Source organism: Homo sapiens, chromosome 9, assembly GCF_000001405.40.
Source record: "Homo sapiens chromosome 9, GRCh38.p14 Primary Assembly".
NCBI lineage: Eukaryota > Metazoa > Chordata > Mammalia > Primates > Hominidae > Homo > Homo sapiens.
Window position 1 is genome coordinate 108,237,789 of NC_000009.12, and position 19,489 is coordinate 108,257,277.

General features: G+C 36.2%; 2 long non-coding RNA genes across 5 annotated transcripts in view; both read right to left on the reverse strand.

Annotated features, from left to right (window-relative positions):
* LOC105376214 (uncharacterized) overlaps positions 1-19,489 on the reverse strand; it is a 401,533-nt gene that overhangs the window by 194,544 nt on the left and 187,500 nt on the right. The window lies entirely within an intron of this gene.
* The window catches only part of LOC105376212 (uncharacterized), a 37,257-nt gene continuing 25,455 nt past the window's right edge, over positions 7,688-19,489 (reverse strand). For both annotated transcript variants that reach the window (XR_001746880.2, XR_930235.3), the window contains 2 exons: positions 8,938-9,019; positions 7,688-7,881 (listed from right to left, as the gene is read on the reverse strand). This is a non-coding gene — a long non-coding RNA (uncharacterized LOC105376212). The remainder of the gene's footprint in view (positions 7,882-8,937; positions 9,020-19,489) is intronic.

Sequence of the window (19,489 nt, forward strand, 5' to 3'; positions counted from 1 at the left end):
AGGCACCAAGGGTTGCATTGACTGTAAAGAATTTAAAAACAATACTGAAAAATGGACTGAAAAGTTGCTCTGCTCTTTATTATCACCATGAGCTAGAAATTTTAAACAATGTCTGTGATAAAATGTTTCAACCCAAGAAAAATGTTTTGTTAGTCTAAATTCTAAACAATTGTTGTAGTTATTACTGTTTTAATAATATATAAGTAAGCTTTAAATTAACACTTTCTGTTGTTAGCTATCCTTGAACAAACATTATATTCTACACAGAAGTTAATTCAGAGAACTCCCAGTTATATAGTTGGCCCCCAACAAGCAGAGACCCCGCCATGGGCATTCATGTTGAGACTACATTTGTGACAATTTAAAATAATTTCAGCTCACTTCAGATGTAGTCCACATCCTTAGCACTTGTGATACCACCTATCTCTATAGTTAAATAAGTGACTCTGAATGAACATTGACAGCACAGTGATTGAAAAAGATGAAGAAGCAAAACTGGAGTTATTTCATTTCTGACACTCAATGTGACTATTTAGAGATAATTCACATATAAAAATTAAAACAATAAAGCCCAGTAAAGGAACAAGAGTGTTATGTTGTCTGGTAAGTACAAATTTCAGCTCAGAAATAAAATATTTTTCCAAATTTGAATATTTTCTGATGGGAAGCTTTATATGACATTATTAGGCACCAAAACCACTATTTACCAATAGCCAGAATCAGCCTGATTAAATGTACAGTAAAACACCTGCTTTAAAATGAATGCTTGAAGTTTAGCACATAGATATCATAGAGAAGGCCACTGACTATACAACAAAATGTAAAGAAATAGACTTTTGACATGAGAAAGATATTCAAATTTCTAAGAAAAATGCCAGGAGAAACAACACAATCTGCTGGTCTTACATTGCTAGAAGAAATCAAAAAGACAAAAGGATGTTCAACTGCCTCAATGAGTTTCACAAGGAACTGGACACTTGTTCTAAAGCAATTGATCAAACAACGTTAACATTAGTTATCACACAGTAATTCTCCCTGATCTTTACAGACAATTTTACAAAATGTAACAGCTATTTTTGATAAATTTGCTGGTGAAGGTATTTTATTTTATTTTAATTTTAGAGACACTTGAAAGCTGATAGAATTGATCCCAAAGAAACAAAGATGTGGCCAGTATAACAATTTCTGGAATTTTATCAATCTACCATATCTATCCTTATGTTTGATAGTTATCCTAACTATTTGTGTATCTGTTGATTCTTCCAAAAAATATTTTGAAATTAAAATTAATAAAAACTCAAATTTTGATCAACTATCAGGGACGATAGGTGGACAAGTCTGGCTATGCTGTTCGTTGAACATAAATAGGCAAAGAAAAACAGTTTTGACAGCCATTGAAAATTTGGAGAAGGCACAAAAACAGAACCTGTAATGTTGTTTTGTACATATAAGTGTAAGCTTCTTCCCTTCTTAACAAATACATTAATGTAATTAGAAAGTATGAATCCTTTAACTGTTTCCCTTTTTGGTAATGTCACTTTTTTTTTTCTTTTTTACTGGCATGATTATATATATGTTCACAGAAAAGTCTGACTGTCTGCATTTCTTTTCTTGCCACTGCTATTATTCGTTCATTTCATGATTACTGTGGAGGATCGTTTCGTCACTTAGAGGAGAGAGGTGTTAAAAATGATATGCCTCCATGTGTCAAGCATGCTAGGCACACCACTTTCAGAAGCAGTGTTTTCCAAACGAGAAAACCAAAACTCAGTGAAGTTAGGTGTTTGAGGCCCCAACTTTAAATTTATCATGAAGAGAGTCCTTCATTAGGATTAGATGATTGCCATCCTTAGAGCCTACGGGGCTCACCAACTCAGCTCATGCACAGGGTAAAGTTAACCATAAGTTGTTAGAGGAAACATTGTGGTCAACTGCGCATATATTTGTAAATTTTACTTGACTATCAGTCAACTCCATTCTAAAGCCTTTCTCCCAGACTCCCTGACTTCACCCAAACAGATTTTTCCACTAAAAAGAAAAAATCAACTGTGAAACAGCTTATTTATGTAAGCAAAAACATTATCAAGCCCCCATTTATTGTGACTCATACATGTACAATAAACTTGATTATACTTTTTGGTAATGTTACATTTCTAGTTAAGTTTATTAAAAACAGAACTCTGAGAGATGCAAAGAGAATCACTGTGAAAATCCACAATAAACCCCATACCCCCAGCCTTATTCCCCTAGTAATGTCATTCTTGACGATATACACAGGAAAGGCAAAAGGGGCCCCTTCTCAGTTGTGTTATACTATATTCTGTTTCCATGGGAATACATACTAAGGGGATGAAATCATGAAGTACTCCAGGAGGTGCTAATAACTCAATGGGGCATAATAACCAGCTGAAGATATCTGCATTCACTAAACTATAGCAAAGGGGGATAATGGAAATTTGGGGGAGGGGAAGAAATGAGCACCACAGACATGAGACTAAGCTGATACTAAGGCCATGCCAGGTTTGAAGCTGCAGATCACATGTAATAGTATTTTATAACCGTGGATCACATGTAATACTAAAACATCACCAATTGCAGTTTAATCTGGTCAAGGTCAGTGTTTATCCTCTAAAGGTCCAAGCACCTCTTTTTCTTCAATCTCTCTCCTCTCCCATAAAATTTCAACCCAATAGATTTTTTGATCATTTTTTCTATTACTGTTACTATCCTCCAGTTTATCAAATTTATCTGTCAGCTATTGTGACCATTAAATGCCAAGCAATTTGCAAAGATGATCTCATTTAAATTTCAGAATGTGCTTGTCGTGTAGGAATTACTTTTTTTTTCTATTTTGGTACTGGGGAAATTAAATCAGAGATCAGCACAGCTCAGGAGCATAATGTGGGACTTGAACCCAGGTCCTTCTGGGGCATTCTCCACTAAATTGTACTTCCTCATTGATGGTCCTCCTTATTCATTTGATTCAGACTTGGCAGTTTATAAACATCCTATAAAATAAGACAACTTTCTGCAGGCATAACAGGAATCCCAACTCCGTCTCAAGCTTCCTAGCATAACTAACCAACTAAGAAGGTGCATGAGTCTTCTCTGTGGGTCAAAGGCCTTGATGGTTTTGGCAGGAAAGATAGAAAGTTTAGAATAGGTGTACCAATGAGAAGGTGAAAGAGAAAGGGAGAATACTACAGTGAAGGTATCTGAGAATGTTCCCTGCTGGGACCCACTAACTCATATGTGAGTCTTGCAGAGGAGGGCTGAAGCCCCAGCTGAAGGAGCTCTTTTCATGAAGGACTATGATACGCGGGGTCTAAGCTGTGCTGACCAGGGCATAAATGTAAACCAGAGTGGGAGAAAGGGCACTGTCCCAGCTCTGCACAGAAAATCATATGGCTTTGGTGTCAGTTAGGATCAGTTATCTCCAATCACAAATAGACCCAAAAAAGTCTAATGGGTCAAGAATAGAAGTGCTTCTTCTTGTTGCTTGTTTGCTTTTGATTGTATGTTTTTGGTTTGTGTGCACATATGTGCAGGTGCTCAGAAATAATAGACAATTCTAGTTTGGCAGGGGGCTGTGTTCACAAGATCTAGGCTCATTCCAAGATCTAGGCTCTGTCACCTTCAACACATGGTTTTCAAAGTCACCTCAGGCACTGATGTCAGAAGATGGGAAGAATGCAGAGAATCACACATAAAAGTTCCAATGCACCAGGCCTGGAAATGATGCCCCTCACTCCCACTCACATCTGCTGGTTGGAAATCAGTCACATGACCAAATCTAACTGTGAGGGAGCCTGGGAAATGTAGTCTTGCTAGGTGCTCATGAGAGGAAAAAAAAAAAAAAAGAAAGAAAAAGAAAAAACAGGTTAGTAACTAGCTAACAGACTTCAGGGAATTTAGCCCACTGGCATTAGCAGCTTTGAGAACATCAGATAATTTAAATATCAGCATTCTGAAAGAGGATTCCAGTTCGTGTGGTGGGAAAGCAACCCCTTGCTGTGGCTTCATTGTCAACAAGAAAGGCCCAAGGTAGGGGACATCTACTAATAAGAACCAGAAAGAAAATGGCTGTTTTCTTAAAGTAGCAGAGATGTCTGCTCAGGGCTCACAGAAAAGGAGATTGGGTAACAATTGGGAGAGCAAGAGCCAGAAATACCTAAAATTAAGAAGTGCTTATTTTAAAATATTCAGGCAATAAAGCAAGGAAATAAAAATAATATAAATATTACTAATTTCATGTGGTGATTAAAGTTATTAACATTTTTGTATGTAGCCTGCCAAAACACATTCCTCTCCTTCCCTCTCTTCCCCTCCTCTCCCCTCCTTCTCCTCATGTTCCCTCTCCTCCTCACCTCTCTTTTCCTCTGTCTAGTCTGTAAGTGTAGAACTATATTTTTACTATTAATGACTTTTACTCCTGCATAAAATGATTGAATAGTGAATCCTTCATGACTGGAAACTCAATTGCTCTTTTTCTTCTCTCTTCTCTGTATTCTTTTTACTTATAAATAAAGCATCAATGAATATTCCTGTTCATATATCTTGAGTTACTGATCTAACTATTTGCATAGGAAAAATTCCAAGACAAAATAATTGATGCACCATGCATCATTTGTACCTACACACTTGGGAGCATAACCCTAAGAGCATGCACGTTTAAAATTTTGAAATACATTGCCAAATTTATCTCAAGAAAATTATACCCATTTAACCTTAGCAGTATATGAATGTTTGATCCCCATAGTTATCAATACTAGATAACTTTGCATTTTGTATAGCAAAAAAAGGAACTTGCATTCTTATTTCAATGTGTGTTTCTTTGATTATTAGTATAGTACAGCATCTATTCAAATGCTTTTTGGCCATCTTTTATTTATTGCATTTAAATATCTGGCAGCTCAGTGTTCTTTCCAATTGCTGCCACTTTCCGAATTTTTTTGCTATGTCAATATTTATATTTAGTTGAACTTTAAATAATTTATTTAAAAAATGTTAATTGAGATTGTGTCTAACATACAGATTTACTCAGATAATAACAGCATCACCAGAATAAATATTCACACAAGAACAATGTGGAACTTTTATTTATTCTCTCTTATGATCTTTGATGCAGTTTTATAGTTTTCTCCATGTAAATCCTGAACCTTTATTTTTTCATATTTTTTCTAAATATTTAATACATTAAGCTGTCTTTTGTATTAGAATGTTCTCCATTGTATTTCTTACCTGATCCTTCTTGTTAGAAAAGAGCTTTTCTAATTTTGTATATTCATTGTTTAATCAGCTATCTTATTGATTTCTCTTTTAATATTTAAGAATTTTTAGTTGATTTCTTGGGTTTTTATGAAATTGGAAATTTGACATTTTAAACATGTATATGTCTTATTTTATCTTCTTAGCTATTTGTATCACTTTTCCAAAATAATGTGAAATAACAGTGGCAATAACAGACATACTTGACTTGTGTCTCCTTTTAATGGAAATAACATTGCATATAAATCTGTGTTTTTATGGTATGTGTATGAATGTGTATGCATATATATGTTTATCATATTGAGGAAATAGCATCTTTTAAATAAACTTTTATTTTAAGTTCTAGACTTAATTCTGTTCCTTTTAGACTTTCAATAGGGAAAGACTGATAAAAGTTATTATGTGCCATTTTAACATCAGTCATGCTACTTGCAGGAAGTAATTCCTACAGCTAGGCTTTGCGTTTGACAGGGAGTTTCCAAGCAAAAATGGGAGAATAACTTTGGTTATATTGCATTCATTGCTGGTAACAGGAAAAGAAAAGACAAATCTCTCTTTCATTCTGTCAAGATACATCTCCTGTAATCTCAAGTTTAGCCATATTATGAAAACGTTAGAGTATTTTCAAAAGTAAATGATGACATATAAACTGTTAAGGAGGGCAAAATGACTGCCATGAAACTGACCAGATATCAAGTATTTATGTGGAAAACCTCAAATCTCATCATCCAACGGGTTTATAATGTGAAACCAAAATAAAGATGCCATAGGCAGGTAAGAGCTAGGTGTATGGTTGCTTTTAAAACTGATAGGATCCTTCAGAGGGATGAAAGAGTTGGTCTTTCATGTCTCTTTCACTTCTTTTAAGCCAATATGAGAGTCTACTAGAAGTAGAGGGAGCCAGCAGCCATTGGAAATGTGGCAGGCAAAGAATGCCAGAGCAGAGGAGCAGGTAGTTTTGATTTGAACTAACTGACCTGAAGAACCAACTTGCCCAGTGGGGAATGGGGTCACAGTTGTATTTGCTCCAGCAAGCCTTTCCCTACTTCCTCCTCTACCTCCACTCCTAGTAAAATTAGACTCTTCCTTCCTTCTAAGCCCTATACTATTTAGTCCCTTTGGCACTTTCTACTCTGGTTATCTATATGCCTATTTGTTTCCCAACCAGAAAATAAGACCATTAAAGGAAAAATCCATGTGTTTGTATCACTCCCACACACACACTATAATGCCCAGCACAGGATCCTGTACAGCAGACACTGTACAGTAAACACTCATTGAATGAATAAATGAATGAATGATACGTGCAACCTTAACTCAGGTCCCGTGACAGTATTACTACCGATAACAAGAATAATAATAACAAAAGCTAATTTTTATGAAGTGCCTACTATGCACCAAGATTTAAATATGCATTACATTTTTTGTCCTTACAATGATCCTGGCAGGTAAATAGCATTATTCCCAATAAGAGATGAAAAAATGAGGTTCATTATGTCATTTGACTTGCCAAGGCTCACATAAAAGAGACTAGAGGACCTTTCTGACATCAAAGATCATGCTGTTTCCACTGTGCTAAGTTGTCAAGTGTGGATAAGAATTTCAACCCTTATTACATGATCTGTTTGGTGTTCCTATTTTGTAAGGGTTACTTTGAAGAATTTTAGGAGAAAACAAAAGTGTGGTCAAATGCAAGTGGGATTTCCAATGAGTTTTGAAATTGGAGAAAATGCATTACCAAGCACTAAACAAACACTGAATCTGTTTTATGAGTTAATGGATTAAGTTGGATTTCAGTGGCATTCCTGTATCACACACAGCATACACATGCTCATGCCTTTCTCCAAAGCTTAGGACCAGTTGGTGTTGATCACAGATGCAGCCAAATGGCTGGATTGTTTCAGAAGAATGCTGCACACAGAATTTGTATCTGAGACTGTTGCTTATCCAAAAACATTTATGGAAGAGTTCAGACACCCCAAGCAATTCTCCTGAAGACAGCATAAATAGTTCCCACAATATATTTTCTTTTATTTTAATATAAGGTTTTGAACCCAAGAGCTCTCTCTTTTCCTTTCTATATACAGAATAAGTTGCCATGTAATACACGCTCAATAATCGTTTGTTAAATTAGCAAAATTTAGCACTATGGAGTTTAAACCCATCTATACTGGTTTTTCTGTAAGTATTACCAAATCTGGTGTCATTTAAACAATTCTAAAAGTCTTGTAAGGAAAACTTCAAACTGAGAAGTGTGAGCAAAAACAGAGGAAAACAAACAAATAAAACCCTTGGATACCAGCTCACAAAGAGCCTCATTTGTCATGACCAGAAGGGGGAAAATCACTAGAATAAGCACTTTTAGGAAATTAGACAACTAACTTCAAATGGTGATGAAATCTAAAGCAAGGATGGAAAATCGTTTTCAAGTTGCATTTAATCTTGATCAATCATTAGTAGCTTTCTGGAGCTTCTTGCTGAGAAGGGTCTGAAGCCAGATGCAGGCTTAGGGAAGAAAGAGCCATTCATAGTGTCTTACGGTCATAGTCACATAGTCATAGTCACATAGTCAGTCATTGTCCTGGTTCTCTTGCCATGTATATATTTTATAATCTAGATTTAAAAGGAAAAAAGAAAGATTATGACTTCAAGATATGGTTTGGTCTGCCAGAGTCGTTTATTCAGCCATAAGACTTAGGAAAGATGCCATTTCTTTCTCTAGCCTACAAAATATATTTATTGAGACACTGAATTGTTAGAGATAACTTTTATTGAAAACTAGCATTCTCTAGGACTGTGTACAGGCCAGAAGTAAACATACATGAAAAAAATCAGTCTGATCCTTCTATTAACCAAATAATATGATATATAGGAAGACAACTTTTTAAATCATCCCCTGGCCTCATCCAATACACACTCAACCATTTGTGTTTGCACAGTCACCTAGACAGAAGTGGGACTAGCTAATTCACCAGAGATGACTCCTAGCATGAGGGAGGCCAGCCCATGGAAGACTCTAAAGAAACATGGCACAATTGTGAGAATTCTGAATGCCAAACCACAAACAGTTTACAAAGAAGAATATTGGTCCTGTGGTCCTTTGGTTTTCCCACACTTAAAAGCACCAAGAGTTGGGAATTTCCCTAGAGGAGAAAAAAAGCCTAAAGTCAAATGCTGCCTAATAGCAGTTGAACGTAGTAAAAAAGATGTTTGATTTGAACCTACCTATTTGCATGTTATAAATTCTGCTCCAGATTGTATGTGTATTAAGTTTGAAAACAATGGTAGATGCTTAGTGATTTATGCTTTTTCATTAAAAAATACTATTGGCTAAAACCTGTGCTTTCTCACCTTCTCTGTTACGCATAGTAACAATGAGCCTCTCTATAGAACTTGGTTGCCCTTTTTTACTTTTATTTATTTATTTTTTGAGACAGGGTCTCACTCTGTCACCCAGGCTGGAGTACAGTAGCACAGTCACAGCTCACTGCAGCCTCGACTTCTCAGGCTCATGTGATCCTCCCACCTCTGGTCAACCTTTTTATAGGCACCTTTTGCCCAGTGATAGTTAAAAAAATTGCCTGCAAATGCTCAGAAGAAAACCCCACAAAACCTAGCCTCTAAGTGACACAGAAAATATCAAAATACGATGAATTATATAACACATACCTGTAAGATGACTCTTTAACTGTCTGACCAGTTTGAGAAAATATATCCATTGTCTTAAGATGTAGAATATGAGAGAAGTTCACTAATGAAGAAAAATACTAATCAGAATTGGAATTTAAAGTAGATATCTATGCTTCTTCATCATTGGCTTTCAAAATTTTGCTTATTTGTTGTCCAAGATGTGAAAAAAAAAAGACCCTCACCTCATCTTTTATTCTTTCGTTTTATTTAGGTTATTGCTGGATTTTCTGCCCTTTTCAATAAATTGGGTAAGAGAGAACAAACAAAAAAATGCATCCTAATCTTAACCAACAGCAGTGTTCAATTTGCTAACAGTATCTAAGTTGAAAAGATTTTTATTTTGCTCTATCTGAGATTTCTATTATAAGGTGCTTCAAGTCTGTTTTGACAATGGTCAGAGTATAAATACACAAAAAACAGAAAGGATCATTGTCCGGGCCTTCTAACTCTAATCCCAGAGCTCCACAAGATGGCTGATTTTGCTAGACTATCTTGTATACTCTCGAAAAGAAAGGTGAACATTTTATTGTTAAGCCATTTCAGACAGAGAATAATTTATTCCAGCTACATAAGCATTCAGGAGAAAGTGGACAACCTTTTTTAGCAACATATTCCAGAGCCACAGGGTCACACAGTGCTTCCGCAGAAGGCCCAGTGTAAACATATATCATTTGCTGCCGGTGAAGACCCAGAAGCATCATTCTCTGGTCCTCCCCAGCCCAGGTTTCCCAAACTGTTTACAGCACACACACCATCCCAACCCACTGCCCACACATCATCCCAACCCACTGCACACACACTATCCCAACCCACTGCACACACACCATCCCAACCCACTGCCCACACATCATCCCAACCCACTGCACACACACTATCCCAACCCACTGCACACACCACTCCAACACACTGCACACACACCATCCCAACACGCTGCACAACCACCCCAACACAGTGCACACACACCATCCCAACACGCTGCACACACACCACCCCAACACACTACATACACACCATCCCAACACACTACATAACACCATCCCAACACACTGCATATATACCACCCCAACCCACTGCACACACACCATCACAACACACTGCACACATACCATCCCAACACACTACACACACACCACCCCAACACACTACATAACACCATCCCAACCCACTGCACACACACCATCCCAACACACTGCACACACACCATCCCAACCCACTACATAACACCATCCCAACCCACTGGACACACACTATCCCAACCCACTGCACACACACCATCCCAACACACAGCACACACACCATCCCAACACACTACATAACACCATGCCCAACCCACTGCACACACACCATCCCAACACACAGCACACACACCATCCCAACACACTACATAACACCATCCCAACCCACTGCACACACACCATCCCAACACACAGCACACACACCATCCCAACACACTACATAACACCATCCCAACCCACTGCACACACACCATCCCAACACACAGCACACACACCATCCCAACCCACTTCACACACTCCATTCCAACCCACTTCACACTTGTCATTCCTACCCACTGCACACACACCATCCCAAGCCACTGTATACACACAATTACAACGCTACTCTTCTCCCAAATATTATCTTATGAGTCATGAAAGCAAATTTTCTACTTAAATTCACTCCACCAGCTTTTATATCTCTGGAGTCCTTGATCCTGATGATGATATTATCTAGATAACTCACTGATTTTACTTGATCTTAATGGATGTTTTAATGGAACAGCATAGCTGTAGACCTGTTAGGAGTAGCTCTACTTGCTGTTCTTCAAGTCATAGTTGACTTGTATGATTGCCAACTCTGTCTTTTGGCTTACCTGCCCCTTCCCCTGCAATAGTCTTGCTCTTGTGTTCAACTTCGAGGACTGACTCACCTTTCCTTCATGTCTTCTGTGCCTAGTGAAAGCAATCCCTCATTCCTACTGAAAGTGATCTCTCTCTCCCCTTTGAACTTCAGAGTAATTTACTCTACTCTCCCCTCCCGTTTTTGTTATCAGGTAAGATACTTTTTAGCTAAACGTCTTTGCTTCCCTGAAAGACTCTAAGTTCCTTTAAAGAAGGATTTTTGCTTGATTCATGAGCTGCTAAGAACCCAATAAAAGCTCTATAAATTATAGATATATGAATAACAGGACAGAATTTTAAAATATATTGTTATTAGACATATATATTATTATATTATGGATTGATAACTAGGACTGACAGTCAGTTTTTAGAATTTTTAAAGCAATTAATAATGATTCCCAACCTTCTCTAACACACCATATCCTCTTGTTACTTGATTTTGCAGTAACATCTCTTCCTGATCTGGAAAATGACTAATGGCATGATTTTTAATTTAAAATAATAGAAATTGGGTTTCTACTAAAACATTTCTTTGGATAATTTTATTAATGTGGTTTTGAGAATTACAAGTCATGGTAAGAAAAGCAACACTTACAAGTGTGAACATACCCACACCCATTATTCGTTTCCCAGGGGTGCCATAACACTGCAGGGCACACTGGGTTAGGATATGTATGCCAATTTAACTAGAGATAGATAAGCAATGGCTACAATTTGATAGTGGGAAGATGGAAAGTGATAGTTAATTGTCTGCTGAATGCTCAGAAGAAAAGCCTAGAAAACCTAGCCTCTAAGTGATACAGAAAATATTAAAATATAATAAATTATATAACACATGCCTATAAGATGACTCTTTAACTGTTAAAGCGTCAGACAGTTAAAGAGGGCATGCTTGCTCCAAAGCCTCTAGGAAGAATTCTGCCTAGTATCTTCCAGCTTCTAGTAGCCCCAGTCATTCCCAGACTTGTGACAGAGGCTGTCTATGCCTGCCTTCACATGGCTGTCTTTCCTCAGCATGTCTGCATGCTCAAATTTTCCTAATTTTATAAGAATACCAGTCCTTGGGTTAGGGCCCACCCTAATCTCATATGAACTCATTTTAATGGGATTATATCTGCAAAGATCCTATTTCTAAACAAGGTCACATTCATAGGTACTGGGGGCATTAGGATTTGAAGAGGTTTTTATTGTTGTTTTGTTTTGTTTCAGTTTTTTGAGGACCCAATTCAGTCCATAATATAGGCCATACTTAAGATTATTGCCAAATGTAAAAAATAATAGATGTTTTTAGGTTTCAAGGATGAACCATGCATAGATGACTTCAAAATGAAGTTTATAATAAGATGCATAAAGAAACATTAAGTAGCAAAGGAAGTTTTCCTAGTAACTCTGTGATCACTTCAGGTTCCTAGGATTAAAAACTGGATGTATGGTGGACTCAGTAGAGATTCAGGGCAAATGATTAATGTTGGGCAGAGAACAAATCAAGTTTAACTGGCCTGCTATATCTTTACTTACTCAACATTTAGACTTTCACAATGAAAAGGTTTACTGTGCCTTTTTTCACCACCCAATATGGAGCAGTGGTAATGGGTTGGATTCAATTTAAATTCTCTGAATAGCATGAGTTGGCTTTCCATCTTCCCACTATCAAGTTCTAGCCATTGCTTATCCATCTATCTCTAATCAAATTGGCATATTCTATTTTCAGTTAATAAAGGCTTTTTAACATCAGAAATCAAAGATGAATGTTATCTTTCTCTGACTTAGGGGAAATCACAGAAATGCCCATATATCATTTTCTCCTCTTTGGTTCAATGATTGACATGTTGTTAGGCCGATGCCATGATGTCCAAGAGATGTTTAGTCAAGTTAGTTTCAATGACTCAGTGACGTTATCCAAGTAAATTCTCACCGGTTCCATCTATCAGTTACTCCACGGGCTTTTCCACCTGCACCTTACATGTGAACTCTCCCTAGCCACCCAAATACCACACTCTTTCCTGCCTACCTCCCAACCATTTTTCTAATATAAAATTATTCTTACATTCCTTTCAAAAACTCAAATTGGACATTATGTATGGTTCCTTTAATATTCTGCTGGATTTATTTTCCTAGTGTTTTGTGTATGGAAAATTTTTAAAATTTTATTTATACGTGAGATAGGTTGAATTCTTTGGTGTCTGTTATTTTTGTCTAGGTTTCAATATTATAATTATGCTATTTTATAAAGTTGAGTTTTATATCTCTTAGGTTTTGAGGCATGTTTTCTGGTATTTGTTTTTTAAAAGTTTAAAGTCCTTTGGGTAAATACAAAGGAGCACAATTGCTAGGTCATATATAAGAATATGCTTAGTTTTATAAGAAACCACCAAACTGTCTTCAAAAGTGGCTGTGCCATTTTGCATTCTCATCTGCAATGAATAAGAGTTCTGGTATCTTCACCTTCTAGCATTTGGCATTGTCCGTGTTCTGGATTTGGGCCATCCTAATAGGTGTGAAGTGGTATTTCATTGTTGTTTTAAGTTGCATTTCCTTGATGACATGAGATAGATCATCTTTTAATATGCTAACTTCCCATTTGTATATCTTTTTTTTTTTTTTGGTGAGATATGTGTTTAGGTCTTTGGCCCATTTTTTAATTTGGTTGTTTTCTATTGCTGAGTTTTGAGAATTCTGTTTATATTTTAAATAATAGTCCTTTATCAGATATGTTTTTTGCAAACATTTTCTCCCAGTCTGTTGCTTCTTTATTTTCTTGACAATGTCTTTCACAGAGAAGAAATTTTTAGATTTTAATAAATCCAGTTTATTAACTGTTTCTTTCATTCATTGTGCCTTTGCTGTCATACCTAAAAAGTCATCCCCATATTCAAGGTCATCTCAATTTTTTCCCATTTTGCCTTCTAGAGGTTTCATAGTTCTGCATTTTACATTTAAGTCTGTGATCTATTTTGAGTTAATTTTTCTGAAGGGTGCAAATTCTGTGTCCAGATTTTTTTTAATGTGAATATCTAGTTGTCCTAGCACCCACTTGTTAAAAAGACTATCTTTTCTCCATTGTATTTATTGCTTTTGCTTTTTGTCAAAATCCAATGAACTATATTTGTGTGGATTTATTTCTGGTCTCTGGTCTCTATTCTGTTCCACTGATCTGTTTGTTTGTTCTTTCAACAATATCACGCATTCCTGATTACCGTAGCTTTATGGTAAGTTTTGAAGTCAAGTAGGGTCAGTCCTACAACTTTGTTCTTCTCCTTCAGTACTGTGTTGGCTATCCTAGGTGTTTTTTAAAATCTTCATATAAACTTTAGAATCAGTTTGTCAACATCCATAAGATAACTTGCTGAGATTTTAATTTGGATTGCATTCAATCTATAGATTAAGTTGGAAAAAACTGACATCTTGACAATATTAAGTCTTCTTATCCATGAACATTGAATATCTCTCCATCTATTTACTCAAAGGAGTTAAAAATGTATGTCTATATAAAAACCTGCACACGGAAGTTTTATGGCACCTTTATTCATAATTGTCAAAACTTGGAAGCAGCCAAGATGTTCTTCAGTAGGTAAATGGATACATAAACTGTAGTACATCCAGACAATGAAGTATTACTCAGCACTAAAAAGAAATGAACTATCAATTCATGAAAAGACATGGAGGAAACTTAAATGCATATTTCTAGGTGAATGAAGTCAGTCTGAAAAGTCTATATACTGTATAATTTCAAGGACATGACATTCTGGAAAAGGCATAGTAAAAAGATCAGTTACTGCTAGGTGTTGGGAGGGAGAAAGAAATGAACAATTAGAGCACAGTGAATAAGGAAATAAAACTACTTTGTATGATACTATAATGTGGATACATGTCATTATAAATGTGTACAAACCCAGAGAACATACAACACCAAAAGTGACCCCTAATGTAAACTATGAATTTGGAGTAATGAGGATATATCAATATAGGTTCATCAAATGTACCACTCTGGTGAGGGATATTGATAATAGAGGAAGCTATGCATGTGTTGGAGCAGGGGATCTATGAGAAATCTCTGTGCCTTCTGTTCAGTTTTGAGGTGAACCTAAAATCGGTTTTTTAAAAAGCCTATTAAGAAACAAATCACAAGCAAAAATATGTAAGTAAAAAAATTATTTAAGTTTAAAATTTGTAAAAATGTTTAGATGAATAGTATTCTTATGTTTACTAATTTGATCACTTTTTTTCCTGGCTATTGATCTATTTTTCCACTTCTCCTTGAGTTTGTTTTTTCCAATTATTCTTCTCTCTACTTTTACTCTATTTTGTGTTGCTATCACAATTCTTGCTTTTCTTTTAATTGCCCTTTCCTGTTATATCCTGCCCATCCTTTTATTTTTATCATTCTGCATTATATGGTTTAGACGTATCTCTTTTAGATAAGATATACTTGAATTAGGGGGTGGAGTCTAATCTGAAAGTCTTTGTTTCTTAAAGAGAGAATCTTGGCTCTTTTATGTTTATGCTTGTAAAATACATTAGTTCTCACTTGATAATTTTTCAAGAGTTTGTGATTTAAATGTTTATTTGCTTCATTAAAAATCTGTCTTTATATGAATTATGTTTTCACTGGTAATTTTTTCCCTGGTGATTAGAAAGGTAGAAAATGGACTACTTATTCTGTATCTTAATGACTGAGTAGGCAGATTCAGTCAGCCCTGCTCTGTGAACTCAGCACTTTGTTTGCTTGCTTGTTTGTTTCACAAATAATATCAAAACCCAGCAAAGCTAAATAGTCTAAAGTTTCATGACTAGTTAGTAAAGTTGATACCAAAACCTAGTACTCCTAGCTTCAGAACAGTGCTTTCTACTGCCTCAGTGTGTGCCAAATTTTGCCCTATTCCATGTGGATGAGCTTTTTCCACCTCAACAATCTACACCTGAATGTTCATATTTCCTTCTCTTGAAAGAAGCATTTTCCTCACCATATCTATGTTCTCTACAATCTTAGCAGGGCATTATTGAGGCTGTACACCCACAGAAGAACTCAGAATAATGTATCAGTTGGAGTTGTAATCCAGTGAATTATCAATAAGGTCATTATCTTTTCAAAATCTTTTTCATTTCAACTTAATACTGGAATTGGTAAAAGGAGATTTAGGCATCATTTTTGACATTAAGGAGCTCACTCCTCCTTCAAGTAGGCAGATGAATGACTACGTAACTATAATATATAGCAGACTCTAAAAAGCATTACAATTTGGAAAACATATTTGACATAATAAAGATGACATTCTGTGAAGTTTACATGTAATTTTCTCCCATAAGCAGTATAATTTAAAAAACATCTTTGACGTAATAAATATGGCATGCAGTGAAGTTTATATGTAATTCCCTCCCATCATCTCTCTTTGAAGAAAATGTGTATTTCAAAATACTTTTAATAGAGATCAATTTACTCATCAGACTTATTATGGGGTTGGTCTTTTCACTGAAGAAGAACAAGTACCTCTGTACAAAAGCACACACACAGGCACATACTCATACATTAAGAGAGCAAGGTTTTGTATTTTATCCATAGGGTGGTTCACTTGCTAAAGGAAAGAAAGAAGAAAGGAAAGGAGGGAAAACTTTTTGTGTATGGGGTGTATATGTGTGTGTGTGTGTGTGTGTGTGTGTGTGTGTGTTTAAGAGTTGGGATCTCACTTTATCACTCAGACTGGAGTGCGGTGCAATCATGGCTCACTGCAGCCTCCAACTCCTAGTCTTAAGCAATCCTCCTGCCTCACTCTCCCAAAACACTGGGATTACAGGCATGAGCCACCACTCCCAGCCTAAGAAATCTTCTTTTTAAATAAGAATGAAGAAATATGACTCATGAAAAAAAAGAGCAGAACTCATCCAATCGTTTTCAGTCTGTGTAGTCTCTGAATGGAACTATTTTGAGTTTGGATTTTCTCACTTGTAACACTGTGATCACATTACCTTCCTGATAGGGTTTTGTGGATTTAAATTAAATAAGACAGCAACTAGAAGCTGCTGGCACAGGGAAAACCCTCAATAAATAGTATAATTGATTGTGACTCACATTAATTGAGCATCTGCTTTGTGGGAGCTGCCTGTCATCTCATTTAGTGTCTCTGCAGCATTAGCTGATTAATTCATCTCACTGGAAATCTGGTTGCAGAAACTCCCTGATGTCACAGACACAAACGTAAAAACCAATCAATAATTTAAATTTTTACCTTTCGACAAGCTCTTTTGATGGCACTGACACCTTCCTTTTTCACGTGTCTCCAGACACTTACATTTTCTGAAATTAACTCACATTGCCTTATATACAACATAAATAAAACTGCAAAAAATCAATCCATCCTATATTTCAAAGGTGATTCCATAAATAACATAGAAAGTTATGGTCTTGTCTTGAAGGAAATTCCATATATCAGAGAGATCTTTTAAAAAGTGAATAATTTACGGTTAAAATAGGTCTTGAGTCACATTTTGAAAGCATATCCACAGCCTAATTATCACAGTAATCTGGAGAAGATCCAGATTCGTGCTTAGAAGTGTCTTCCAAAAGGTTTCTGAAAACTGCTTTATTAATGATGCCGCACAAATGCAAAGCATTATCCTAACTGTTAAGTCACAGCCTTACTTTGTAGATGTTCTATTGTCCTTTCTACAGGAGGCAAATTAATCACTCTTTTTTCCTCCTCAAACATATTTTTCCCATGTGTTCTCTCTTGCTGCCATGCTAAGAATTTTATGAGAAAGCTGAATAAATACTCTAGGTCATTATAATTTTACTTAAATAATACATTTTCATTTTTAGAATAATATATGATCATTTACTATAAGCTGGGCTTTATGCTAATGACTTGTATTTATTTACTTGAATTTGCAGTGTGCTATTACATATATTTTCTCGTTTAATCCCCACAGCACCTCTATGTAGTAGGTAATGCTTTTATCATCATATTCCAGGAAAAGATCTACAACCTAGAGAATTGAAGTCACTTACCCAAGTTCTTATGATGATGAAGCCACAACTCAACCCCAAGTAGTCAGATAGCAGAAGCCATGCTTTTAACCCCAGTTCTGTATTGTTCCCTGGCTATCCATAATATATGAAGGGAAAAAAGCAAATTTCAAAACAGCAGATATAGAAGGATCTCTATTATGACATATTTCCTTGGTGTGTGTTTATAGATATATGATACGTAACGTATCATATATGTGTATGTATACATGCATATGTTTTTATGTAATGTAAACAGCAAATATAGTGAGAGTTATTATGTAGCACTTTCTATATACTACGTATTTCCTATGCACTAGATATTTCATATCCATTTTCTCATTTATTTCTCAAAGTAACTCATTATGATAGGTATGAGAAACACAGAAGAGTAAAAAAATTTAACAAGTTCATAGAGGAGCAAGTGGTTAAGATAAGAGTCAACCAGATAATTTTATTTATAATATATATTTATAAATACGTTTACTTTGCTAAGTGTATTATATATATGTGTGTGTATATATATATATATATACACACACACACACACACACATATATGTATATATGCGCTTTTTGAAGTTTTTTTTTTTTTGGAGACAGAGTCCCACTCTGTCACTGAGGCTGGAGTACAGTGGTACGATCTCTGCTCACTGCAACCCCCACCTCCCGGGTTCAAACAATTCTTGTGCCTCAGTCACCCAAGTAGCTGGGACTACAGGTGCCCACTACCACACCTGGCTAATTTTAGTATTTTTAGTAGAGACAGGGTTTCGCCATGTTGGCCAGGCTGGTCTCGAACTCCTGACCTCAAGTTATCCATCTGCCTCGATCTCCCAAAGTGCTGGGATTACAGGTGTGAGCCACCACGCTGGGCCGAAGATTTCTTTTTTAATTAAAAAATGTGTATGGTGAAACCCCGTCTCTACTAAAAATATAAAAATTAGCCAGACGTGGTTAATGTGCCTGAAATCCCAGCTACTTGGGAGGCTGAGCCATGAGAATCGCCTGAACCCAGGAGGTGGAGGTTGCAGTGAGCTGAGATTGTGCCACTGCACTCCAGCCTGGGCGACAGAGTTAGATTCTGTCTCCAAAAACAACCAACCAAACAAACAAAAAAGAAAGAAATATTCAACTAATGTCACTTGAGATATCCTTTCCCATTACAAAATGAACTCTTAAAAATAGTCTCAATATGGGACCTCCACTGGCTAAGATGACCTTCCCTAAGTCATGGAGGAACTGGCACTGCTCATGATAGCCTTGGGACTCTCCTTTGTCTTTTCTTCTGTGGTTGCTTTGGTTGACCAGATCCCCATCAGATTGGCATGTTCATATTTTAGAGGTGGTGATATCTTCAGTTATATCACTGTCTTGCTAGCCTAAAAGACAGTTTGTCTCTTTCTGGTGACCATTCCTCTATTTCAGGGGTCAGCAAACTAGAGCTTTGTTTCATTGTTTCGTTTGTACAGCCCATGAACTCATAATGGTGTTTACTTTTTAAAATGGTTGCAAAAAACAACCGAAGAATAATATGTTATGGCGTTTGAAAGTTATATAAAATTCAAATTTCAATATTCATAAATAATAGTTGGAACATAGCCATGCCCATAATGGTGCCATTTTAATAGGAA